A 25,983-nucleotide genomic window follows, 5' to 3' on the forward strand; every position below is an offset into this window, starting at 1 on the left:
CCACGGGTTCCTTTCAGGCTAAGAAGCTGTCCGTCTCCATTTCAAATCAAGGAGTGGGGAGAGAAGATAGATTATTCACTATTGGGACAACTGGATTGCTATCGGGAAGAGGATAACTTTGAAGCATGAATCAACTTTCATACACTAAATAAATTCCAAATTGAAACATAAAGAATTTGAGAAAAGGAGTGAAGATTATGTTGAAGTAGGAAATACCTTGCCAAATGTAACCCCAAATCGTAAGTCATTTTAAAAACCATTGAGAAAGTTTAACACATAAAAACAAAACATTTCTACATGGCCAAAAACAATGCCATGAACAAGGTCAAAAGACAAATAGCACACAAGGGGAAAAATGCAACGGATAGTACAAAGGGATAAAGTCCTTAATCTAGATGGTGTTCCTACAATTAATAAGCCACACACTCGGAGTTCAATAGAAAAAAAAATGAACAAGGGATATGAACAGACAGGTCACAGAAAAGGAAAGAAAAAATTATGCTCTTAAACATATAGAACAATGTTCATTCTCATTCGTAAGAGTTGTTTTTCAACATCACAGAGTAGGATCATATGCTAAGCAGGGCAAGTACAAGGAAGCAGGCACAGTCACATGTGGGAGTGTGGAATAGAAACTGGCACACTGTTCATGAAGGGCAATTTTTTAATAGCCTTGGTCAAAATAAACATTAGCCATACACATTGACCCAGCAAGTCCACTTGTAGGAATTTACCTTACAAATATGCTTACAGATGTGTGAAATGATGCATGCATGAGGAAATTCATGGAAGCATGGTTTGCAAGAGCAAAATCCTAGAAACACTGTAAATGCCCATCCAGAAGGGACTGGGGAAATAAATTATGGTACATCCATACAATGGAATACTATGCAGCCATGGGCTCCACGTTTCCAACATAAGTCATCTCTATCTGTGGAGATGTGGATTAATTTTCTACATACATAAAGTGAAAATAACAAGATGAGGTGAGGATGTGAAGATTTTCATTAAAAAAATGAGGCTCCCTGGGGGGAAAAAAAAAATGTTTCTCAGGTTGTAGAACCAGCTGGTGATATTTTTATGATTTTGGTATAAATGTTGCTTGTTTTGTTTTTAATTCAATAGTTTAAAATTATCACAGAGGGAATACATAAATGTAAGAAAAGAATGGTTAGTTTTTATGTTATGGGCACGACAGTCATATAACTGCTTGTATTTTCCTCTGCATTTGCTGCTAGAAAGCTCAGAGCCACATTAGTAGCCCACCTCTTGTTGTACAGTGTTTCAGGGCATGTGTATTTTGTACTAAACTCTCTGCTGACTTAGTTTTATTTTTTTACAACTCTTTACTTTCCTAAACAATTATTTTACATAGATTATAATAAACTGCTTCAAATGCATCTTGTAATGAGACAGTGCTGTATACCGACTGTTTGTGTCACCCCCACCCCAAGAAAATTCATGTGTTGAAATCCTAACCCGCAGTGTGGTGGTATTAGGGAGGTCGGGCCTTTGGGAGGTGATTAGGCCATGACGGTGGAGCCCTTGTGAATGGGATTAATGCCTTTATAAAACAGGCTCCAGAGAGTTCCCTCACCCCTTCCACCTTGTGAGGACACAGCAAAAAGATGGCTGTCTATGAATCAGGAAGCAGGCCCTCACCAGACACTGAATCTGCTAGTGCCTTTATCTTGACTTCTCAAAATATAAGAACTATTTTTTTGTTGTTTATAAGCCACCCAGTCTATGGTATTCTGTTATAGCAGCCCAAATGGACTAAGACCGATAAGCATATCTTTTTTAAAAACACTAGAAAAAGAAAGCAAAGTGAAGAAAGTAGTATACGCTTCTGTTTGCATTAAAAAGAATACATGCATATGCACATTTGCATAAAAATATCTCTGGAAGGTTAGTAACTCTAGTTTCCTGCAAGGGCTAGGGAACAGAAGACAAAGGGAATCTTATTAATTACTAATAACTAGTTAATAAAATACAAAATAATTTTTAAAAGTTGTTTTATGCCATATACATCTTTAATAAATATTTTTTAAAGTTATCCTTCCCTTTGCTCTAAAGAGCCACTTGATTGCTTTGAGCACCGCTCTCCTGGTTGCTACTGTTCCGCCAACAGGAAGCAGTGTAATAGAGGAGAAATTGACTTACTGTCACCCACTGACTTTCTGCTGTAATGTGGACTCACTGGTTCTGTGTATTGTGCCAGAGCTGCTGAAATATCTATAAATATTTTTACTGTATTATGAAAAATGAAAACTTGGCCCATCTCCCATAGTTTGCATTTTTTTTAAAAAAACGCAATTGGAGATAAATATGATTTTTTAAAATGTATTGAAAGTGAGGTCCTTAGTAGGGGAAAGACAAGGGCATGATGAGTTTTCTAAAGAGTGAGGCTTTCACTTTCATTCTCTACTAAGGCTCACATCTATGTAAGTCCCCAACAATGATGCACTGTGTATTTTTTAAAGTCAGGTTTATTGAGGTATAATTTATACACTGTTTTATATATATACAATTGACCCTTAAACAACATGGGTTTGAACAGCATGGGTCTGTTTATATGCAGAGTCTCATCTGCTCTTGACACTCCTGAGATAACAAGACCAACCCCTCCTCTTCCTCCTCCTCTTCAGCCTACCCATCGTGAAGATGAATGAAGACCTTTATGATGATCCACTTCCACTTAATAAATAGTAAATACATTGACTCTTATGACTTTAATGACATTTTCTTTTTCTAGCTCACTTTTATTATATCAATACACTGTGTAATATATAAAATATGTATATACGTATAACATACAAAACATGTATAAATTGACTGTGTTATCAGTAAAGCTTCCAGTCAACAGTAGGCTATTAGTAGCTACATTTTGGAGGAGTCAAAAGTTATATGCAGATTTTCAACTGCAGGGGTGTTGGAACCCTTAAGCCCTGCATTGTTCGAGGGTCAACTGTATGTATAACTGTTATATATAAAAAATTCACCCTTTTTAGGATATAGTTCAGTGAGTTTTATTTATATATATATATATATATGACAAACATATATAGTTCATATATAGAACATTTCCATCACCTCAAAAATTTCCCTCCTTCCCCTTTATCATCAAACCTTCCCTTATCCCCAGTTCCTTAACATTTTTTTTTTTTTTTTTTGAGACAGTGCCTCACTCTGTTGACCAGGCTAGACTCGACCTCCTGGCCTCAAGCGATTCTCTGGCCTTAGCCTCTCAAGTAGCTGAAACTATCAGCGAGTTTTAAGTTTTTATTTGGGAGCAATTTTACAGTTACAGAAAATTTGTAAAGATAGTTCACAGTTCTCATATATCCTTCATCCAACTCTCCCTAATGTTATTATAACATCTTACATAACAGTGGTTATACGTATCAAAACTAAGAAATTAACACCGGTAAATTACTATGAAGCAAGCTTTTATTTTATTCAGATGTAACCAGTTTTTCTATTAATGTCATTTTTTGGTTTCAGATCCTATCCTGGATCCCACCTTGTGTTTAATCATCATGTCTCCTGAATCTCTTGTGACCTGTGACAGCTTCTCAATCTTCCTTTGTTTTTCATGACCCTTTTTAACTTGTTTATGCCTAGTGTTCCATTATTGGAATGCTAAGTGTGTGGGAGTTATTTATATCCTACTGCTCAAGGTCATTGTCAAGGTCTGATTTTTCACTCATGCAAAAATTCAAAAAATTGTTAAGAATACTGGTCAGATAGTATGTAGTACGTCTCTCAGTTTGGGTTTGTCTTCTGTTTTCTCACAACTAGACTGGGCTTATGGATTTGGGGTAAAAATGCCAGAGAGATGAGGTGTCCTTCTCAAGGCATCATGGCAGGGCACATACCATGGTTATATAAGATGTTAACTTTAGGGAGAGTTGGATGAAGGATAAACGAGAACTCTGAACTACCTTTGCAAATTTTGTGTAAAGCGTAAAATTGCTCCCAAATAAAAAGCCATAACTGACCTATAATTCCAGCTATCTGGGAGGCTGAGGTGGAAGAATCACGTGAGGCCCATGAGTTCCACTTGATTTATCATTGGTGATGGTGACCTGGATCACCTAACAGTTTTCTCCACAATAAAGTTACTTTTTCACTTTCCAAACTCCATTCATCAGAAGCACTAAGTCTGGCTCACTCTTGAGGAGAAGGCAACTAAACTCCACCTCCTAGAGGGGAGCTCTCTCCACATATTATGTGGCCACCCCCCTCCTCCAGGCGGTCTTCTCCCTGTGCCATCTTTCTCAGGGAGCACCTGCAAAGGCCTGTGGAGAAGAATCTGCATGTGTCCCTGTGACTTCCCCTTGTGACTGCAGCTCCTCACAACTCTCTACTCTCACCCTGGTCCACCCTTGCGATTTACCACCATCTACAGTTTTAGCTGAATCCTTCATATTCACTTCTTAATCCTTGTGTAGCCTGGGCATCTCTCCTATGCTCTGTTCTGCTGAGCTGGTGGTTCCCTCCCATCTCTCCTTGGAAGTCCCCGTCTTTTCTTGGATTTCAGGCTATTTGATGGCCTAAACCTCATCTTTCTAATGGTTTCAAGAAGAACTGTCACTATTGTTTATCAAGCTTTTTACTTGTTAAGGTGAGAGTGACACTATCTTCAGCTTCCTACATGCTGGGTGGAAGCGGAACTTGTACTGAACTTGAAATCCACTCTCCTCTGAGGGGAAAGTGAGAGCCAAGGGATGCACAACTGTGAGAACATCAGAGAACATGCTCAATTCCATGACTCCCAATTAGGCCCACTACTGGCTGCTATACCCTGGCATACCAGGTCCTATGACTATCCTGAGAATGGTTGGAGCCATTCTGAGAAAGAATGATCAGACTAACTCTAAGCAAAAGCTGCTGCAGTTTCTCCCTCCGATCATAACCCTCACTCAGTCCTCACTCGCCTAAGGCGCCCCTCCAGGTAGCCCATGTCTTGGGTCTGCCATAGCACCCACCAACTGGGGTCATCTACTCTCATCACAGCACTTGGTGCTCCCCCAAGCCCTCCTGAACCAGTGAGTGATGTGAGCACGTGCCAGTGTTTGATGGTGGCTGCAGTGACAGCTCAGCTAAACCCACACACTTATGTCTCTGACAATTTCATTCCATCACACACTCTTTCATTCCTTTATTCATTCACTCAACGAGTAGCAAATATGGCAGGAATTATGCTGTGGAAATTATGCTGGGCTTTGGATATCCATCTAGTGAACCCCATAAAAACAACTTAACATTTTTTTCTACAAGGAGAGGCCAAACAACAATGATCTTTGAGTGTGTTTCGAGTATACACAATTGTCTTCATAATAAGCTTTGTATCTGAGTAGCTATTATAAAGTTCCATTTGAGCCTCACAACAGCTCTGTGAGGTAGATGAAAGATTGAAAGTGAGAGATATTAGGTGCTTGCCCTGTGATTGCACTGTTCATGTCTGAGCCAGGTCTTGAGGCTTTCTGACTTCAAATATAGTGTTCTCACTGCTCCAATGCTTGCATCTGTGAGAAGTAGTAAAATAATCAAAACTCAATGTGCCCTATGTAAACCAAGGACCACTCTCACCAAAATATAAAAGAATAGGTGTCCAAGGTGATTGGGTTTCCGTGACTAGGATTCAGGCCTAAATTTATATATTATTTCATCCCTGGTCCTTTTACCAGCTCTATCCCAATCACAGCACTCCAACTGAGGTCCAGAGAATGACCCTGGAACCCAGTGACCCAAACTATCTGCTATAGTGATGGGCACTGGCAAATAAACCTCATTATTACCAGCTTATTAGCAGTAGAGAAAAGCCACATGCAGATTTACAAAAAGAATGTTTTGAACCTTCTCAGGGAGCCCTAATCAAAAAACAGCAGTGCACAACAGGTCCAGACCTCTGTACAGGCACTCATAAACTGTCTGTGACCTTCCTGGGTGCCACTCTGCACAGGCAGCCCTGTAGACCTCAGATGCTATCTGCATGGAAATCTCTGGACCAGGTGCTGCTCTGGGCATGTTTGAACTTCAGAGGAAAACTGGGTGAACCAATGTCATTATTCCCAAGCAAATTTACCCAAATGCCAGATAAGCAAAGCCTTTTTTTTTTTTTTTTTATTCACTACATTGGTCACTGGAGCAAGAAAGCTATTGCTTGCTCATTTCATCTGGTGGGACACTTTGGAATTTGTTTTTAAAAGAAGAGGCAAGATCACCTTCTCAGAGGAAGATAAATACAGACAAGAACAATTTCTTGACCTTCACATAGAAGAGTAACCATAAAACTAAGCTTTTCTCTATGATTTAAAACAAAGAAAAATTCTCAGTGGTCAGGCTTCATCTTTGGGGATGAATAGTGCATAATCTAAGAGGCTTTTTAGCAAAATGGATTTGCCAGCTTTTGGTGTTTGTCCTGAAGGAAACATTTACATTGTATAGTAAGGAGAATGTGTCAGCCTACCCTGAGGTAATGTCACAACATCTTGATGAAACATATGCCACAATAAAATTATATCAGTGCAAAAAAAATCAATGGTTATATTCGCCTATGTGTTATACACCTCCGCCTAAACTTGTTCGTTTACTGGAATAAAAACTTAGCAAATAAAATAGGAGAAATAAATTGTTCCCAATAAAAGTGGAATTCCCGAGAAGTTTATTTTAAATAGACCCCCAATCCGTTATTTTGTGGATTTAGATGGGTTTTGACTTAAACTCTACGCCCTTATAATTGTCCTGCATAATGAAACCCCATACAGTAAACTGATTGTATTTGTAAGGAACATGTTTGGAATTCTCTTTGAATCCTAACTTCATAAGCAAGGAAAGGTCTGTGAGAGTTGGATGTGTCCTATGTGTATTGCACACAACAAGTGAAAAGCCCAAATTTAAACAATTAAATATAGAGCTTCTTGGGTTGTGTGGGACATAGAGCAGAGAACATAGAACCCCTTCACTTGCTTCTCTTTTTCCTCTAGACAACTCCCTTCCACACTCCCTCCCGCCATTCCCTTCCCCCTTCTCCCAACACAATTGGCAGTTTCTCAAGCACCTCTTGGAAATATTGAGTACTGTTTGCTATATGGAGCAGTTGCTTGAATGCAGCTGCACTAACTGATATCTATGAAAGAGATCTTGTATTTATCTGCCAGCAAAGATAAATGACCTCCCCATACTGTCTAGGAAGCAGTTAGGTGGGCTGTGGTTCTATGTCCAGATTTGTGGTTCTATGTCATATTTGATATACTGTTGCCTTTAAAGACTGTAATAAAATTGTCACACTCATCTACACACCTTCAGGTCACTCCTCCTTATCCCGAGAGAATTTTAGCACCTGATTCACTCCCTTCCCCTCAACACTATCCCTGATATAGTTCTTGGTGATTTCAGAATCCACATAGATGATTCTTCCAAAACTCTGACTTCTCGTTCTTGACCTCTGCTCATCCGATGACCCTCCACACTCCCATTCCCACCCCTACCAGCCACAAATCCACTCCCATGACCATGCCCTACATTGAGTCATTGTCAAAAAGTACACCCTCCCCATAATCTCAATTTCAATCCTCCCACTCTCTGACCCCATCTCTTATTTTTCTGTCTCTCTCCCAGTACACTAATTTCAACAGGTCCTCAACCCCACTGAACCACTAATCCACTGGCCCTACTACTTTTTACTGTTCCTCTAACCCCTATGGCTTCAATTTCCTCTTTTCCCAACTTAGACCCTTGGTCCATCTTTGTACTTGCTCTCCCACCCTCAGCAAAACACAGCCCTGGTTAAATCCAGTCCTCTGCTCACTTCTCTCCAGCTCCAAGGCAGCTGACTGTGACTGAAGGAGAACACACAACTGTGCTGATTGACCTTGCTGTAAGTGCAAAATCACAAAACTCTAATGTTATTGAGAGGTCTTGTTGTCCACCTATAATGACCTACTTAACTCACAGTTCCAGTCTCTTGGGTGACTCTTACATAGCTCTCTTCTTCTCAAACATCCAACAGCTTCTTCCCCACTTTCTCTCTACGATTAGAGGCAAATTTCCACCCATTCCCCCTGCCAGAACCAGCAGTCTGCCTCTCTGACCCGCCTAATGGGCCTTCTCCCTTGTTACAGCGGTGAGCAGCCCATGCACTTTCAGAATCAACCCTTTAGCTTCAGCATCAGCTCCCTCCCTCTTCCCACCCTGAATGCAGCTCTTTCAGGTTTCCTCTCTCTGTCCCACATCAACAATTGCACCCTCTCTTCTTGATCATTTACATCAGGACACAAAGAGATAATCACCTATTTGTAAAAGAAAAAAAAATCTTGACTCTACAGATACTGCCTCATTGCTTTCTTCATTTTACAGTGAAACTCTTCTAAAGGGTTTTCTGTCTCCACTCCCTCTGCTCCCACTCTTTCTGAATCTGCTTCAACAAGGCTGTTGTTCCCCTCACTCCACTAAAACTGCTTTTGACGAGGTTGCCAATGACTTCCATCTTGTCAAGTCCAGTGGTAGTTTCTCACTAACCATTTAATTTAACGTATCAGCATTATTTGATGGTAGATCACACCCTCCTCCTTTCTTAACTTAGCCTCCAGGAAAACATTCTCTCTTGGTTCTCTTCCTACCTTATCAGCCACTCCTTCTGAGGCCTTTTTTGCTAGTTCTTTCTGTCTTTCCCATCTAAACACTGAAGTGTCCCAGGCTGAGTCCTCAGACCTCTTTTCTTCTCTATCTTCACTCTTTCTCTAGGTGATCACATGATCTCATGGTTTTAAATTCCATCTACATACAGATACATGCAAAATACATATCTCCAGTCCAACTCCAGACTTGTATATGCAATTGGCAATTGGGCATCTCTGCTAGGATATGTAATAGGCATCTCAAATTCGACATGTTCCAAAACAAATATGTATTTTTCCTTACTGCTCCTACCATTTTCCACACCTTAGTTGTTGAAAATTCCAAGCTTCTAGTTGCTCAGACCCAAATCTTGGAGCCATCCAGGATTCTTCTTTCTCTTACATAGCATATCTAGACCATAGGCAAAACCTGCCAGCTCTCCTTTTGAAATGTCTGTTGAATCTGATCACTTTTCACCCTCTGTCCTGGTCCATGCCACCATAATCTCTTCATCTCTTATCTCTCACTTGAGTTATTGGACTGACTAGCTACCTTTTTCCACTTTTGCTTTATTTATTTATTTATTTTATGAGACGGAGTATTGCTCTGTCACCCAGGCTGGAGTGCAGTGGCACCATCTCAGCTCACTGCAACCTCTGCCTCCCAGGTTCAAGCTATTCTCCTGTCTCAGCCATCTGAATAGCTGGGACTACAGGCATGCACCACCACACCCGGCTAATTTTTGTATTTTTAGTAGAGACGGGATTTTGCCATGTTGGCCAGGCTGGTCTTGAACTCCTGACCTAAAATGATCCACCCATCTCGGCCTCCCAAAGTGCTGGGATTACAGGCATGAGCCACCACACCCGGACTCTACTTTTACTTTAGACTGTGGCCAGAATTGTAGCACCATCACACCTCCACCTCCACCCCCACTGCCAAACCCAGCTACATCCCACTTCTACCTCTAGTCTTGGCTTTGTCCGCAGCAGGGAATGTAACCTTTGACAATGTCCCACCCCCTCAATGGGTCTGTCTCCTCATTTGTAAATATGGTAGTTGTATTAGGTTACTTAGGTTTCTTGCAGCTTGAATATTTTAGGGTCATCTGTTTAAAACACCCTCCTTCTCCAGAAGTCTGATGTAATACTCCCACCTGACTGACTGGCCCTTCCCTGGGGCTCTCAGAGTCTTAGTGTGTGTCTTAGTGCTTTTCACATGGTCCCATAATCCTTGATTCACTTGAGTCTCCCTCATCTTGAGACTACAAAGCCCTTTAATGCAAGGAGCTATGTGTTAGTTGCCTTTGTGTCCCCAGCACCTAGCATAGTTCCTGGTACATAGTAGTGCTCAGTAAATGTGTGTGATATGAATGAAGATAAAGCAGGTCACCTTCATGCCGGGAAAGAGATTGAAAAGAGAAAATCACAGAGACAGACCCTGAGAAGTTGGAGGCAAGATGAGGATGCTGAGGCAAAAAGACCAAGTCTAGAGTGATGGGTTTGAAGGAAAAAAGGGGAGAGGGGGAGCCGAGCGCAGTGGCTCACACCTGTAATCCCAGCACTTCAGGAGGCTGAGGTGGGTGGATCACGAGGTCAGGAGTTCAAGACCAGCCTGGCCAACATGGTGAAACCCCATTTCTACTAAAAATACAAAGGTTAGCCAAGCGTGATGGCGGGCTCCTGTAATCCCAGCTACTCGGGAGGCTGAGGCAGGAGAATCACTTGAACTCAGGAGGTGGAGATCACACCACTGCTTTCCAGCTTGGGCAACAGAACAAGATTCTGTCTCAAAAAAAAAAAAAAGAAAAAAAAAAGAAAAAAAAAGGAAAGAAAGGAGAAGAGAAAAAAAAAAAGCAAAGAAAAGAGAAACGAAAGGGGAGGGGCACCTTAGGGACACTGGAGACACTGGGGCCTGCCCAGGTATCAGCTTACATTTACATTCACAGAGGGCCCCCTGAGCTCAGCCCCAAGGAAAGGCTTATAAGAAAGGTAACACAGACTTCTAGGAAGAGTAACTCTCTGCCTTCAAGAAGCTAACTAGCCTGCTGGGCAGAAAATCCATGGATGGACTAGAAGCCACTTTAAATTGTACCAGACAGTGCATGGGCAGGAACCAAGTGCTAAGTACTGTGGTGCAGATTACTAAAACCATAGGCAGGGAAAGGTCAGCGTGAGCTGGAACCTGTCCCTGCTCAGCTGAAGGCAAATCTGTGCCTCCTTCCTAGTTTTTTCCAGTTTTAAAAAACCTGCCTATAATTTCTTTGTTTATGCCCCCATATACGGCTTTCACTCAAGAATCATGACAGCAAGACCTTGGTGGACCTAGTTCCAAAGATTCCCGGTTTCCCTTCAAATAAATGTGTCAGGTCTAGGAGTTAAAAGGTTTCAACCACATGATCAAAGACCACAAGTGCTTACTTCCATAATAGAGTCTTTGAATGGGAGTCTCCATTCCATCACACCTCACTTGGCTATGCACTCCATGAAAACAGAGACTGTGTCTGTCTGCTCAGTGCTGGCTGCCGTACGCTTGGTATTTGCATGGGAGACTGTAGAGGACCAGTGAATATTTCTTGAAAGAATGAATAAGCCTCAGGAGTGTATGTTAGAGGTGGGAAGATTTATAACTAATTGGCTTATATCTAAAATGTGTTAAGTATTCAGGGAGACATTTTATTTAATTGTAAGAAAATAAGTTATTGATAGTTGAGAATTGTTCAGGACTACCTCATTTCTAGAAGTGTGATTTCATCTTGTAGCTTTGGTAGGTGAATGGATAAACAAACTTTGGTATATCTACACAATGCATATGGTTCAGGTCTAAAAAGAAATGAGCTATCAAGCTATGAGAAGGCATGGAGGAAACTTAAATGCATATTATTAAGTGAAAGAAGCCAATCTAAAAAGGCTACAAACTGTATGATTTCAACAGCATTTCATTCTGGAAAAGGCAAAACTGTGGAGAAAGTGAAAGATCAGTGGCTGCCAGGGATCAGGAGACGGGGAGGAGTAAACAGGCAGAGCACAGAGGATTTTTAGGGCAATGGAACTATTTACCATTGTTACTCCAAAACGTAGTGGAGCTTATTATTTATTTTAAGCCCCTGTGCTTTGGAGTAACAATGGTGAATTGTGAATTTGTCAACCCATAAAATGGGTTAGGTACAGTGGCTCATGCCTGTAATCCTAGCCCTTTGGGAGACCAAGGCTGGAGCGTCACTCGATCCCAGGAGTTCAAAACCAGCCTGGGCAACATGGCAAAACCCTGTCTATACAAAAAAATTAAAAAGTAGCCAGGCATGGTGGTGTGTGCCTGTGGTCCCAGCTACTTGGGAAGCTGAGCTGGGAGGATCACCTGAGCCCAGAAAGTCAAGGCTGCAGCGAGCTGTAATTGCACCACTGCACTCCGGCCTGGGTGGCAGAGTGAGACCCTGTCTCAAAAAAAAAAAAAAAAAAAAATCCCATAAAAAGTACAATACCAAAAGTGAACCCTAATGTAAACGATGGCCTCTGGGTGATGTTCCAACACATGTTCATCAATTGTAAGAAATGTACCAATGTGGTGCAAGATGCCAATAGTGGGGGAGGTTATACATGTGTGTGGAACAGGGGCTATATGGGAACTATCTGAACACTCAGTTTTGTCATACTTAAAATTGCTCCTAAAAATGAAGTTTATTAATCTAGAAAAAAAAAGGTAGAGCTTATTCTCCTCCTCTTGAATATGAGCGGAACTCAGTGATTTGATTCTAATGAATAGAATGTGGTAGAAATGATGCTATGATAACATCTGAAGCTGGGTCATAGTGACAGTAGCTTCCACCTGGCTCTTACTTTCTTGGGTGGATCACTAACTTTAGGGGTCATGGGAATTGACTATGGGAAGCCATGTAGATGTCACATCCTAAGGGCCTTCAAACAGCTTATGGACAGGCTCATGAGGGAAGGAACTGAGGCCTCCCACCAACATCCAGCACCAACTTGCCAGTCGTATCTGTGAGCCATCTTGGAAGCAGATCCTCGAACCCCAGTCAAGCCTTCACATGCCTACAGCCCCAGCCAACATCTTGACTGCAACCACCAAGCCAAGCTGCTCCCAAATCCCTGACTCACAGAAACTCTGAGAGCTAATAAATGTTTACTATTATTTTAAGTCACTATGTTTTGGGGTAACTTGTTCTGCAATAATACATAACAAATACAATCTTCATTAACAATTGTATATTGTGTTTTTTGTGTGAATTGGCATGGAAGTGGATGTAAAACTGGGTTATATGTTATTGGGTTTTCAATATAAGAAGGTTGTTTAATTAACTATGACAAGAGTTGTAAGGTTGGAGATAATTTTGTCAACAAGTAATACAAATCCCAAATAAAACTGACAAACAATACTCTACATATGGGTTCCCATGCCTAAAGGCCCAGCAGCAGGTTGGGTTTCCAATCAATTTGTCTAGGGGCTTCTGCTGCATCGCCCTGTGACCTTCTTGCCTCAAACCTCCCACACAGTGTCAGTCTTACCCTCACATTGGGTAACACGATGGCTGCAGCAGTTCCAGGCCTCACATCAGTACATGTCAGTATCTAAAAGAAAAGTGTCACTTCTGGAACTTTGCCCAGAAGACTGAGAACTTTGATGCTTCTCATTGGCCAGAATTGGGTCACAAGCCTATTATTGAGCCTTCACTGGGAAGGAGGATGGGATTACCCACAGGTCACCCAGGGCCACCCCTGCAGCTGGGAGTGGTATCGGCTTTCCTTCAGGCCTGTGGGTTGAGTAGGAAAGCAAAGGGAACCCAAACAACAAGAGAGTTGTGTTAGGGAAGAGAAACAGGGGATCTCTGCTGGACAGGCCACCAACAGCAGTGTCTATGTGATGTGCTTTACACAGACACAAAACAGCCATGTTAACTTCTAGTTCCGAGAAAAAGCAAAAAAATAGCTAATAAACTTTGCAAAATCTTGACAATAACACATTTCATGATGTTCCCATGGGCTTTATGCTTTCGAGCTGCAGTTTTCTTTCATCTCAGGTGGGGTATTTTTGTTTATATGTAGTGTTCTTTTTTTGGTTGTTGTTACAGAATTTAGGATTTAATAAATACTTAAGATTACTAAAGGAATTTAAAGCTTTAATAAAGCTCTAAGTTAATTTATAGGTCACTTTGAGGAGGGGGTAAAAAGCTTGGAAGAGGTCTCTTTGTCAGGCCTCTGAGCCCAAGCCAAGCCATCGCATCCCCTGTGACTTGCACGTATATACGCCCAGATGGCCTGAAGTAACTGAAGAATCACAAAAGAAGTGAATATGCCCTGCCCCACCTTAACTGATGACATTCCACCACAAAAGAAGTGTAAATGGCCGGTCCTTGCCTTAAGTGATGACATTACCTTGTGAAAGTCCTTTTCCCGGCTCATCCTGGCTCAAAAAGCACCCCCACTGAGCACCTTGTGACCCCCACTCCTGCCCACCAGAGAACAAACCCCCTTTGACTGTAATTTTCCTTTACGTACCCAAATCCTATAAAACGGCCCCACCTTTATCTGCCTTCCCTGACTGTCTTTTCGGACTCAGCCCGCCTGCACCCAGGTGAAATAAACAGCCACGTTGCTCACACAAAGCCTGTTTGGTGGTCTCTTCACACGGACGCGCATGAAATTTGGTGCCGTGACTCGGATCGGGGGACCTCCCTTGGGAGATCAATCCCCTGTCCTCCTGCTCTTTGCTCTGTGAGAAAGATCCACCTATGACCTCAGGTCCTCAGACCGACCAGCCCAAGAAACATCGCACCAATTTCAAATCCGGTAAGCGGCCTCTTTTTCCTCTCTTCTCCAACTTCCCTCACTATCCCTCAACCTCTTTCTCCTTTCAATCTTGGCGCTACACTTCAATCTCTCCCTTCTCTTAATTTCAATTCCTTTCATTTTCTGGTAGAGACAAAGGAGACACGTTTTATCCGTGGACCCAAAACTCCGGCGCGGGTCACGGACTGGGAAGGCAGCCTTCCCTTGGTGTTTAATCATTGCAGGGACGCTCTCTGATTATACACCCACGTTTCAAGGGTGTCAGACCACGCAGGGACGCCTGCCTTGGTCCTTCACCATTAGCGGCAAGTCCCGCTTTTCTGGGGAAGGGGCAAGTACCCCAACCCCTTCTCTCCTTGTCTCTACCCCTTCTCTGCTTTTCTGGGAGAGGGGCAAGTACCCCTCAACCCCTTCTCCTTCACCCTTAGCAGCAAGTCCCGCTTTTCTACGGGGCAAGAACCCCCAATCCCTTATTTCCGCACCCCAACCTCTTATCTCTGCACCCCAATCCCTTCCGAGCCCCAACCTCGTATCTCTGCACCCCAATCCCTTATTTCCACGCCCCGACCTCTTATCTCTGTGCCCCAACCCCTTTGCCCACTTTTCTAGAAGGTAAGAACCCCCGAACCCCTTCCCTCCGTTTCTCTACTTTCTCTTTTCTCTAGGCTTGCTTCCTTCACTGTGGGCAAACTTCCACCCTCCATTCCTCCTTCGACTCCCTTGGCCTGTGTTCTCAAAAACTTAAAACCTCTTCAACTCACACCTGACCTAAAACCTAAATGCCTTATTTTCTTCTGCATTGCCGCTTGACCCCAATACAAACTCGACAGTAGTTCCAAATAGCCAGAAAATGGCACTTTGAATTTTTCCATCCTGCAAGATCTAAATAATTCTTGTCGTAAAATAGGCAAACGGTCTGAGGTGCCTGACGTCCAGGCATTCTTTTACACATCAGTCCCTTCCTAGTCTCTGTGCCCAGTGCAACTCATCCCAAATCTTCCTTCTTTCCCTCCCGCCTGTCCCCTTAGTACCAACCCCAAGTGTCACTGAGTCTTTCTAATCTTCCTTTTCTACAGACCCATCTGACCTCTCCCTTCCTCCCCAGGCTGCTCCTCGCCAGGCCGAGCTAGGTCCCAATTCTTCCTCAGCCTCCGCTCCTCCACCCTGTAATCTTTTTATCACCTCCCCTCCTCACACCTGGTCCGGTTTACAGTTTCGTTCTGTGACTAGCCCTCCCCCACCTGCCCAGCAATTTACTCTTAAAAAGGTGGCTGGAGCTAAAGGCATAGTCAAGGTTCATGCTCCTTTTTCTTTATCCCAAATCAGATAGCGTTTAGGCTCTTTTTTATCAAATATAAAAATCCAGCCCAGTTCATGACTTGTTTGGCAGCAACCCTGAGACACTTTACAGCCCTAGACCCTGAAAGGTCAAAAGGCCGTGTTATTCTCAAAATACATTTTATTACCCAATCTGCTCCCGACATTAAATAAAACTCCAAAAATTGGAATCTGGCCCTCAAGCCCCACAACAGGACTTAATTAACCTCACCTTTAAGGTGTACAATAATATAAAAAAGTTGCAATTCCTTGCCTCCACTGTGAGACAAACCCCAGCCACATCTCCAGCACACAAGAACTTCCAAATACCTGAACCACAGCAGCCAGGCGTTCCTCCAGAACCTCTTCCCCCAGGAGCTTGCTACAAGTGCTGGAAATCTGGCCACTGCGCCAAGGAATGCCTGCAGCCCAGGATTCCTCCTAAGCCATGTCCCATCTGTGCGGGACCCCACTGGAAATTGGACTGTTCAACTCACCTGGCAGCCACTCCCAGAGCCCCTGGAACTCTGGCCCAAGGCTCTCTGACTGACTCCTTCTCGGCTTAGCGGCTGAAGACTGATGCTGCCCGATCGCCTCAGAAGGCCCGTAGACCATCACGGACGCCCAACTTCGAGTAACTCTCACAGTGGAGGGTAAGTCCATCCCCTTCTTAATCAATATGGAGGCTACCCACTCCACATTACCTTCTTTTCAAGGGCCTGTTTCCCTTGCCTCCATAACTGTTGTAGGTATTGACAGCCAGGCTTCTAAACCTCTTAAAACTCCCCAACTCTGGTGCCAACTTAGACAATACTCTTTTAAGCACTCCTTTTTAGTTATCCCCACCTGCCCAGTTCCCTTATTAGGCTGAGATACTTTAACTAAATTATCTGCTTCCCTGACTATTCCTGGATTACAGCTATATCTCATTGCCGCCCTTCTTCCCAATCCAAAGCTTCCTTTGCTTCCTCCTCTTGTATCCCTCCACCTTGACCCACAAGTATAAGATACCTCTACTCCCTCCTTGGCGACCGATCATGCACCCCTTACCATCTCATTAAAACCTAATCACCCTTACTCCACTCAACACCAATATCCCATCCCGCAGCACGCTTTAAAAAGATTAAAGCCTGTTATCACTCACCTGTTACAGCATGGCCTTTTAAAGCCTATAAACTCTCCTTACAATTCCCTCATTTTACCTGTCCTAAAACCAGACAAGCCTTATAAGTTAGTTTAGTTCAGGATCTGTGCCTTATCAATCAACCAACTTGTTTTGCCTATCCACCCCGTGGTGCCAAACCCATATACTCTCCTATTCTCAATACCTGCCTCTACAACCCATTATTCTGTTCTAGATCTCAAACGTGCTTTCTTTACTATTCCTTTGCACCCTTAATCCCAGCCTCTCTTCGCTTTCACTTGGACTGACCCTGACACCCATCAAGCTCAGCAAATTACCTGGGCTGTACTGCCGCAAGGCTTCACAGACAGCCCCCATTACTTCAGTCAAGCCCAAATTTCTTCCTCATCTGTTACCTATCTCTGCATAATTCTCATAAAAACACACGTGCTCTCCCTGCCAATTGTGTCCAACTGATCTCTCAAACCCCAGCACCTTCTACAAAACAACTCCTTTCCTTCCTAGGCATGATTAGCGCAGTCAGAATTCTTACACAAGAGCCAGGACCACACCCTGTAGCCTTTCTGTCCAAACAACTTGACCTTACTGTTTTAGCCTAGCCATCATGTCTGCGTGCAGTGGCTGCCGCTGCTTTAATACTTTTAGAGGCCCTCAAAATCACAAACTATGCTCAACTCACTCTCTACAGCTCTCATAACTTCCAAATTCTATTTTCTTCCTCACACCTGACGCATATACTTTCTGCTTCCCGGCTCCTTCAGCTGTACTCACTCTTTAAGTCCCACAATTACCATTGTTTCTGGCCCAGACTTCAATCCGGCCTCCCACATTATTCCTGATACCACACCTGACCCCCATGACTGTATCTCTCTGATCCACCTGACATTCACCCCATTTCCCCACATTTCCTTCTTTCCTGTTCCTCACCCTGATCACTCTTGATTTATTGATGGCAGTTCCACCAGGCCTAATCGCCACACACCAGCAAAGGCAGGTTATGCTATAGTACAAGCCACTAGCCCGCCTCTTAGAACCTCTCATTTCCTTTCCATCGTGGAAATCTATCCTCAAGGAAATAACTTCTCAGTGTTCCATCTGCTATTCTACTACTCCTCAGGGATTATTCAGGCCCCCTCCCTTCCCTACACATCAAGCTGGAGGATTTGCCCCACCCAGGACTGGCAAATTAGTTTTACTCAACATGCCCTGAGTCAGATAACTAAAATACCTCTTAGTCTAGGTAGATACTTTCACTGGATAGGTAGAGGCCTTTCCTACAGGGTCTGAGAAGGCCACCGCAGTCATTTCTTCCCTTCTGTCAGACATAATTCCTACAGTCTGATAACAGATGAGCCTTTATTAGTCAAATCAGCCAAGCAGTTTTTCAGGCTCTTAGTATTCAGTGAAACCTTTATATCCCTTACGGTCCTCCATCTTCAAGAAAAGTAGAACGGACTAAAGGTCTTTTAAAAACACACCTCACCAAGCTCACCCAGCAACTTAAAAAGGACTGGACAATACTTTTACCACTTTCCCTTCTCAGAATTCAGGCCTGTCCTCGGAATGCTACAGGGTACAGCCCATTTAAGCTTCTGTATAGACGCTCGTTTTTATTAGGCCCCAGTCTCATTCCAGACACCAGACCAACTTAGACTGTGCCCCCAAAAAACTTGTCATCCCTACTATCTTCTGTCTAGTCATACTCCTATTCGTTCTCAACTACTCATACATGCCCTGCTCTTGTTTACACTGCCGGTTTACACTGTTTTTCCAAGCCATCACAGCTGATAATCTCCTGGTGCTATCCCCAAACTGCCACTCTTAACTCTTGAAGTAAATAAATAATCTTTGCGGGCAGGACTATGCTGAATCTCCTTAGGCACTCTCTAATCAGATATCCTGAGTCGTCCCAATTCTTAGACCTTTTATACCTGTTTTTCTCCTTCTGTTATTCCATTTAGTTTCTCAATTCATCCAAAACTGTATACAGGCCATCACCAATCATTCTATACGACAAATGTTTCTTCTAACATCCCCACAATATCACCCCTTACCACAAGACCTCCCTTCAGCTTAATCTCTCCCACTCTAGGTTCCCACGCCACCCCTAATCCCGCTTGAAGCAGCCCTGAGAAACATCACCCATTCTCTCTCCATACCACCCCCCAAAAATTTTCGCCGCCCCAACACTTCAACACTATTTTGTTTTATTTTGCTTATTAACATAAGAAAGCAGGAATGTCAGGCCTCTGAGCCCAAGCCAAGCCATCGCATCCCCTGTGACTTGCATGTATACGCCCAGATGGCCTGAAGTAACTGAAGAATCACAAAAGAAGTGAATATGCCCTGCCCCACCTTAACTGATGACATTCCACCACAAAAGAAGTGTAAATGGCCGGTCCTTGCCTTAAGTGATGACATTACCTTGTGAAAGTCCTTTTCCCGGCTCATCCTGGCTCAAAAAGCACCCCCACTGAGCACCTTGCGACCCCCACTCCTGCCCACCAGAGAACAAACCCCCTTGACTGTAATTTTCCTTTACGTACCCAAATCCTATAAAACGCCCCCCCGACACTTATCTGCCTTTTCGGACTCAGCCTGCCTGCACCCAGGTGAAATAAACAGCCATGTTGCTCACACAAAGCCTGTTTGGTGGTCTGTTCACACAGACGCGCATGAAACTCTTCATAACACAGGTTAAAATATGCGTTCTTTTCTTAGCCAGGGTGACTTCATGCAGGGCTGTTCTTCATGTTATTAGGTGGCCTTTAATATCTTTGAAATATGGCACAATTAGAAGCCTGAACCTTACTCTAATGTTTATAGCAGCACTTTATCAAACTTGGTTTCGGATCATATACAAATTCTGACACTAGAGGGAGTGCATAATGTATTACAGAAAGGGAAAGCATACACCTAATAAATTCAAGGTAAAAATGCAGAGTAGCAAGACAAGACTTTCATTATCTTCCGTTCAGTAAGCCCCATGCCTTTCCCCCACAACCCCGAAATTACTAGAGGCCTCTTTCCCCCTTAGAACTGTAGTTTGAATTGGTAGGAGGTTGGTAGGTTGCTTGAAGAACTGTGAAAAGAGTGTTTTATTTTAGAGCCTTTCTAGTGTTTTGTTTTCATTTTTAAAAAATTGAGACATAGTATTTCCTACCTCTCATACATTAGATGGCAAAATTAAAATTACTCCTGGCCGTTTTGTTCTGTTTCTGACTTGGTTAAGATGCTTAACTATATAGTAATGTCACCTATAGAATGAAAAGACTCGGGCTTTATCCTTTGCTTAAAAAATGTAGTCTAGTCTTATGAAAGGGTAAGCATTGTTTTTAGCATTCAGCTTCATAATTTATTCCCTTACTATAGGTGCTGCTCTGATAATTTAACAGCCAATGTCAAACAATTAACAAATAATATTTAAGGCATTTTTATTTCCTAATGTCAAAAATTTCTCATGCTCTAACCAAATGGAATGCCTAATGCCTGAAAACATGTAAATGACTACAAATATGACTGAGCTATTAACACAGCAACAAGAGATTCGACTGGCTGAAAAAGTGAATGATCATTGCCACCAGTAAGACTCAACAACTGTTCTCGAAAAATGTGATCACTGCTGTGTGCTTTCCTAAAACCTTTTTGTGTATTCATTATACATTCCACAATTATCGTAAATCCATCTTGTACTCACACAAATCTTTGAACTACCGGTAAACTGTCTCTTTAATGGAAATGAAAATTAGAAAAATTAAAAAGCAGGCTCATTATGAAAAATCCTGTACTTTATCCAGATGAATGAAATGACCCACACAAATGAAACATCCAGACTCACATTACCTTTTCCTAAAATACCGAAACCATGTCTCTGACTAGGGCATATTTGTACAGACTTACCTGACAGAGAGCCTTTTGGTTAATGATATTTCACCATAATGACTTCTGGAAAGTTAAACCAGATTTCAGGCAATAGACTATGCAGGGTGTATGTGTGTGTGTGTGTGTGTGTGTGTGTGTGTGTGTGTGTCCATCTGCATATATGTATGTGTCTATGTGTGTGTGCTGTGTCTGTCTATGTCCATCTGTCTGTGTGTATGTGTCTGTATGTATGTCTACATGTATATGTGTATGTGTGTCTGTATATGTATATATGTGTGTCTGTGTGTATGTTTCTGTCTGTGTGTGTCATGATTTTTTATTCAAAAGCACACAAGTAAACACATCATGAGAAGTACTATTTCAACATTACAGTTCCAGTTAAAACACATATGAATCAATTTACACAATATCACAGTTTCTAGATAGCAAATATCATATGGAGCAAGTTTGAATCCTGCCCCATGTTTGGATGAATGCCAGATATTTTACTCTTGCACACACCAAATAATGGGGGTGAGGATGCAGCAGATTCTACGGCTCTTCAGTCTGTGGTGCCCATGCACGATTTCTACCTGTTTTCAAAGGTTCTCACCTTTGTGTTGCCCTAATGATGTTTGCCTGTGCTTTAATCTTATTAAGTGCAGTTTGAGTGTGCTGATGAGCCCAGACACTCTGCCTAAATTGGTCACTTGATTTTTCCCCACCTCTTACACCTGACACTCTCTCTATCCACCACCACCTGTGATCAAGCTTCTCTTCCCCCCTTGGTGAGTATCATAAACCTTTCTCACTTTTCATCCACACATTACATTTACTTATTTTCAAACTGTTGTACATTGCTCATATATATTTATCTTTATCATTCAATTGAAATGTTTTCTTTTCACCTGTAAAAATTGGTTAGATATATTGGATTGGGATGAAATTAATCATAATTTTCCCCATTAAAAATAATTTTTCATGTAACAGCTTTCACTTAGTGGCAGAATTTTCAGGAATTAATTCAAAATGGTAAGAAAGGGATACACAAATATTGAAACACAGAGCACCCCACCGGACAAGTCTGGTAAGTCCACTCACATTCTCCAGGGGAACAAAGGGCAAGCCTGGGAGAGAAGAGATGAAGTACCCACCCTCTGCATTAGTGTTTATGGTATTTTATTTTTTTTCTTTGAGATGGAGTCTCCCTCCAGCGCCCAGGCTGGAGTGCAGTGGCATGATCTCGGCTCACTGCAGCCCCTGCCTCCCAGGTTCAAGTGATTCTCTTGCCTCAGCCTCCTAGTAGCTGGGATTACAGGTGTGCGCCACCACACCTGGCTAAAGTGCCATGTTGGCCAGGCTGGTCTCGAACTCCTGACCGCAAGTGATCTGTCTGCCTCGGCCTCCTAAAGTCCTGGGATTACAGGTGTGAGTCACAAGTGTTTAGTATTAGTGACAGTGCCTCAGTGTTGCAGATGGTTTCCAGAGTTCCCAGAATTTTTGTTTTGGGGATGGGGTGGGGAGTTGCATGGGAGAAAGAAAAGTGTCTCAACTCAGAATCTTGGGGAGATTCAGGAGATAATTGGATAACCAGACAATCCCCACAGATATCTTTAGTGATTTTTTAAAAATTACTTTATTTTCTTAATTTTTTTACTCTTTACAACTATGTTGGTATTCTGTTTCTAGACTGTGATTTAGGTTAAACACAAAGTTTATTTAGTATTTGTTTACCCAATTATATCATCTTTACACATAAAATAATTTTATAAAAACATTAAAATTACTACCATTTGTAACCTGAGTATCATGATTTTATCTATCCTATGTACAGGATTCAAAACATAAAAAGTTTCCCAAAAAAACTTTCTGTCAAACAGTAGGCTGGTTAGCATCAATACTACCATAGAAATCCAGTCTGGCCTGATCTTTTATCCTCAGATCTCTAGTTGTATCTGAAATGGAATAGATACCCCAAAAGTAGAAAATACTCCTTATTAGATGCATTGTGTGAGAAATGATTGTTTGAGATGTTAAGGAAAACAACACTATTTCTGCAGCAAATCTAAATTCTAAACATGCATAAGAGGATGCCCTATGTTGGTCTGCAAAGAAACAGGTTGAAAGAAGCACCACACTATTGTTCTGTCCATTAAAAATTAATCAACAGTGGTGAAGAAATGCTTTTACTAACATAGAAAGATGTTTACAATACACTGCTGAGTGGGAAAAAAGTAAGTTACAAGACAGAATCTGTGTTTTTCTTAGAGAAAAAAATGTATATGTAGCAAAATGTAAAAAGGAGCTCTCTATAGTATAATTATAGATATTTTTATCACTTTCTTCTGCTTATATGTATTTTTCTAAGTTTTTTTATATAATGAGCATGAATTACTTGTTTGATGCTTTATGTATGAAGTTTGAAAACTCTACTAGCTAGTAATAGCTTGATACTGACTTTGAGTAAGGTTTAGACCAGTGATCTTCATCCCTGGCTGCACACAGAATCACTTGGGAAGAGGGGGTTAATTATGACCCCATGTTGTAGAAAAGGGTGGGAACAGTAACCAATTAAGTCAGAATCTTGCTGGAGGGGGCAGGGAAGGAGCACTGTTTTTATTTATTTCTTGTTAAGTTCCTTAGACAATTCTAATATGTAGTCAAGGATAAGAATAATTAGTTTCAACAGTATCGGTCACAGTTTATGATCAGATTCACCAGCGAATGTTATCTGAACATTCCCATTTTACTTCTCCCTGAATACTGCCTAACTTAGAATCACTGGCTTTTCTAACTTGAAGACAGCTTAGTTCAATTCTGATGATCAAATGTGTTGATTTCCTATTGTGTGCCATTACTTGCTAGGTTCTGGCAGTTGAAGGTGAATAGCACCCAGACCCTCCCCTTACTGAGTTTGCATTCCCCTTATGGAGCTTGCATTCCAGTAAGGGAAACACACTGGGGGAAAAAACTGCTGCAATACAATGCCGTTGGTTGTATGATAGAAGCATGCACATGGAGAACTGGGGGGATATGGTGAGAGGCACCCACTTAGGGGGGTTTGGGGAGATCTGCCTGGAGGAGAGGATCATGTGTTCCCCTTGGAAGGTACATGACTGGTTCAAGATCACACAGACAAGTGTGAGGGGCCAAATCAGGAACAGAACCTTGCTATTCAACACCTACTCCTGTACCATTTGATGACTCCGACAAGCTGAGACAAAAGGCCTGACTCAAGGGTACAGAGAACACCCTCCCTTCTAGAATATCCCCTTCCTGTACACGCCCACACATGTGAAATAAACCACAGAAGTATCAGCTGTAAGATGTTATTAATGAAGGCAGGCCTCTCAGGCATTCTGACCTGGCACAAAAGTTGTCAGATTAATGGTATTAGAAAATTTGCAAATCAAATGGCTCATTATGTATGATACTGTACTTGCAAATAGGATTAGGTTGATTATGCACTATAAATAGCATTTTTAAAAGACTCCCTCAAGGCCGATTGGGCTGATATCTTGCTAGTCAGATTTTTTTTGAATAAATAATATTTGTACATATTTATGGGGAACATGTGATATTTTGATACATGCATAAGATGTGTAATAATTTAACCAGGCTCTCAAAGTAAAGGGTTACTGAACTGCTAAACAGATGACACCTTGTAGTCAGAGCTTAGCTGCCCAGTGTAGTGCTGGAGAGCTAGGGTTTGGTTCGTGATTGCCTTTAGAGACATCTTTTCACTAAGCCTCTGGTGACAGAGCCTTGATCGTTTTAGCACCTGGACAAAGTGATCACAGGGGGCTTCTGTCATGCACAATAGAGCCAGTGCTGCAGCCTGAGACAGGCTTGGCCACAGGAGGCCACTGCCCAGGCCAGGAGAGCAACTGCATTCCTAGAGGAATGAAGGCAAGGTAAGGGTGAGCTTTGAAAAGCACCTGAAGGTTCTGACAGCAAATGTCACTTCTGTCAGCTTCACTATGCATCCTCCTGCATAAACCTGTTTTATTGCATACTCTTCTGCCCTCCTGTCTCAGGAAACCTAGCCAGTCTTTAAGAGACTACATAGACATCGTCCCTTTTCCAGAATGTGGAGACCATGTGGTAAATACTCAAGGAAGATGGTATTCATTCACATAAATCAAAATTGGTTCTACATAAAAATTTCCCAGCTTGCTGCATGTGTTTGCTCATTCTATTCTTCCTGACGGTCAGCTGGGAAACTATTCTCTATTAATGAGATTATATTTCCCAAAGTGTTTTTTTACCCCACTGTCCCCAAGTATTTCTTTCTGTAGCAGCAACATAGTAAAGCCTGAGGAAATGAAGCAATTGGAAAAGGCTACATTGAATTAGAATCTGAATTAGAATATTTTATTACTTTCAAGCATAGAATTATTATGTGCATCATCAACAATGTTTCCTCATGTAAAGCTCCCAGCAAAATTGCTTCAAGAAATAAAGAAGGATCATTTGAGATTTGCATGTCAAATGTGAAGAGCCAGGGCTGCTTATTTTCTTAAGCAGGTTAAACATGTTCTCTAAAATTCTCTATGTCCTATTAATGTGCTTCAAAATGACTTCCCCCTTTTTTAATATAAGTAATCAAAGGTAAATGTAATCCCCTGTCCAAATTCTCATTAATTCTGAGTCGATACAATTCTATTTCACTGCAAGTTTTTCTCTATTTCATAAATATGCTTACCTCCAAATCCACCTAACAGAGATGGAAAAATGTATACTATTGCTAATAAATGTTTACATCATCTTAGATTCCTTTTTCTCAATTGTCACCATCTCCTTGGGAACTCATTTGGTAGAAAGATAGACTTTTGATACAGACAAAACTTCACGTGCCTTCCACTTGCTAAATGTGTGTTGAGCAGCTTCCTTAAGACTGCCAGATATTATACTAAGGTGTGGCTATCAAGTTAAGTTAAATCTCATACCTGCAGTTTCTAAGGCCACCTGTGTGACAAACTGAAGACAAGTTAATTAAAGACACCTAAGGAGTCTACACTCAGCTGAAAGTGTGTTTGTTTCACTTGAACTTGAGAAGGCTGACCCTCTTCATCTCTTCAGTGGACAGTTACAAGACAGTAACCAGCTCTTCTCCCATGCTGCTGAAAACAAGGCTAAGAAAGTAAACTGCCATGTGAGGAATTGCAGGTAATTATATGGGAGAATGTCTCATGAGAAAAACCTACTGGAATGGTCTAACCAAGGAAAAAT

The 25,983-nt window shown here is 42.0% G+C and overlaps 1 long non-coding RNA gene across 14 annotated transcripts in view, besides 7 other annotated features; it reads right to left on the reverse strand.

The window, feature by feature from the left end:
• Positions 1 to 25,983, reverse strand: part of LOC107986777 (uncharacterized) — a 303,857-nt gene that overhangs the window by 241,135 nt on the left and 36,739 nt on the right. The gene's annotated exons all lie outside the window — the stretch shown is intronic.
• Positions 13,463 to 14,122: an enhancer, noted in NCBI's record as "OCT4-NANOG-H3K27ac-H3K4me1 hESC enhancer chr7:24435498-24436157 (GRCh37/hg19 assembly coordinates)". NCBI's record gives its function as "activates a minimal SCP1, AML or CMV promoter by ChIP-STARR-seq in naive and primed H9 embryonic stem cells {active_cell/tissue: H9 hESC(naive and primed)}" and the evidence as "EXISTENCE:reporter gene assay evidence [ECO:0000049][PMID:30033119]".
• Positions 14,123 to 14,783: an enhancer, noted in NCBI's record as "OCT4-NANOG-H3K27ac hESC enhancer chr7:24436158-24436818 (GRCh37/hg19 assembly coordinates)". NCBI's record gives its function as "activates a minimal SCP1, AML or CMV promoter by ChIP-STARR-seq in primed H9 embryonic stem cells {active_cell/tissue: H9 hESC(primed)}" and the evidence as "EXISTENCE:reporter gene assay evidence [ECO:0000049][PMID:30033119]".
• Positions 16,237 to 16,891: an enhancer, noted in NCBI's record as "H3K27ac hESC enhancer chr7:24438272-24438926 (GRCh37/hg19 assembly coordinates)". NCBI's record gives its function as "activates a minimal SCP1, AML or CMV promoter by ChIP-STARR-seq in naive H9 embryonic stem cells {active_cell/tissue: H9 hESC(naive)}" and the evidence as "EXISTENCE:reporter gene assay evidence [ECO:0000049][PMID:30033119]".
• Positions 18,856 to 19,510: an enhancer, noted in NCBI's record as "OCT4-NANOG-H3K27ac hESC enhancer chr7:24440891-24441545 (GRCh37/hg19 assembly coordinates)". NCBI's record gives its function as "activates a minimal SCP1, AML or CMV promoter by ChIP-STARR-seq in naive and primed H9 embryonic stem cells {active_cell/tissue: H9 hESC(naive and primed)}" and the evidence as "EXISTENCE:reporter gene assay evidence [ECO:0000049][PMID:30033119]".
• Positions 19,511 to 20,165: an enhancer, noted in NCBI's record as "NANOG-H3K27ac hESC enhancer chr7:24441546-24442200 (GRCh37/hg19 assembly coordinates)". NCBI's record gives its function as "activates a minimal SCP1, AML or CMV promoter by ChIP-STARR-seq in naive H9 embryonic stem cells {active_cell/tissue: H9 hESC(naive)}" and the evidence as "EXISTENCE:reporter gene assay evidence [ECO:0000049][PMID:30033119]".
• Positions 24,095 to 24,154: an enhancer, noted in NCBI's record as "active region_25741". NCBI's record gives its function as "activates an Ori minimal core promoter by ATAC-STARR-seq in GM12878 lymphoblastoid cells {active_cell/tissue: GM12878}" and the evidence as "EXISTENCE:reporter gene assay evidence [ECO:0000049][PMID:35858748]".
• Positions 24,201 to 24,772: an enhancer, noted in NCBI's record as "NANOG hESC enhancer chr7:24446236-24446807 (GRCh37/hg19 assembly coordinates)". NCBI's record gives its function as "activates a minimal SCP1, AML or CMV promoter by ChIP-STARR-seq in naive H9 embryonic stem cells {active_cell/tissue: H9 hESC(naive)}" and the evidence as "EXISTENCE:reporter gene assay evidence [ECO:0000049][PMID:30033119]".

Source organism: Homo sapiens, chromosome 7 (assembly GCF_000001405.40).
Source record: "Homo sapiens chromosome 7, GRCh38.p14 Primary Assembly".
Taxonomy (NCBI): domain Eukaryota; kingdom Metazoa; phylum Chordata; class Mammalia; order Primates; family Hominidae; genus Homo; species Homo sapiens.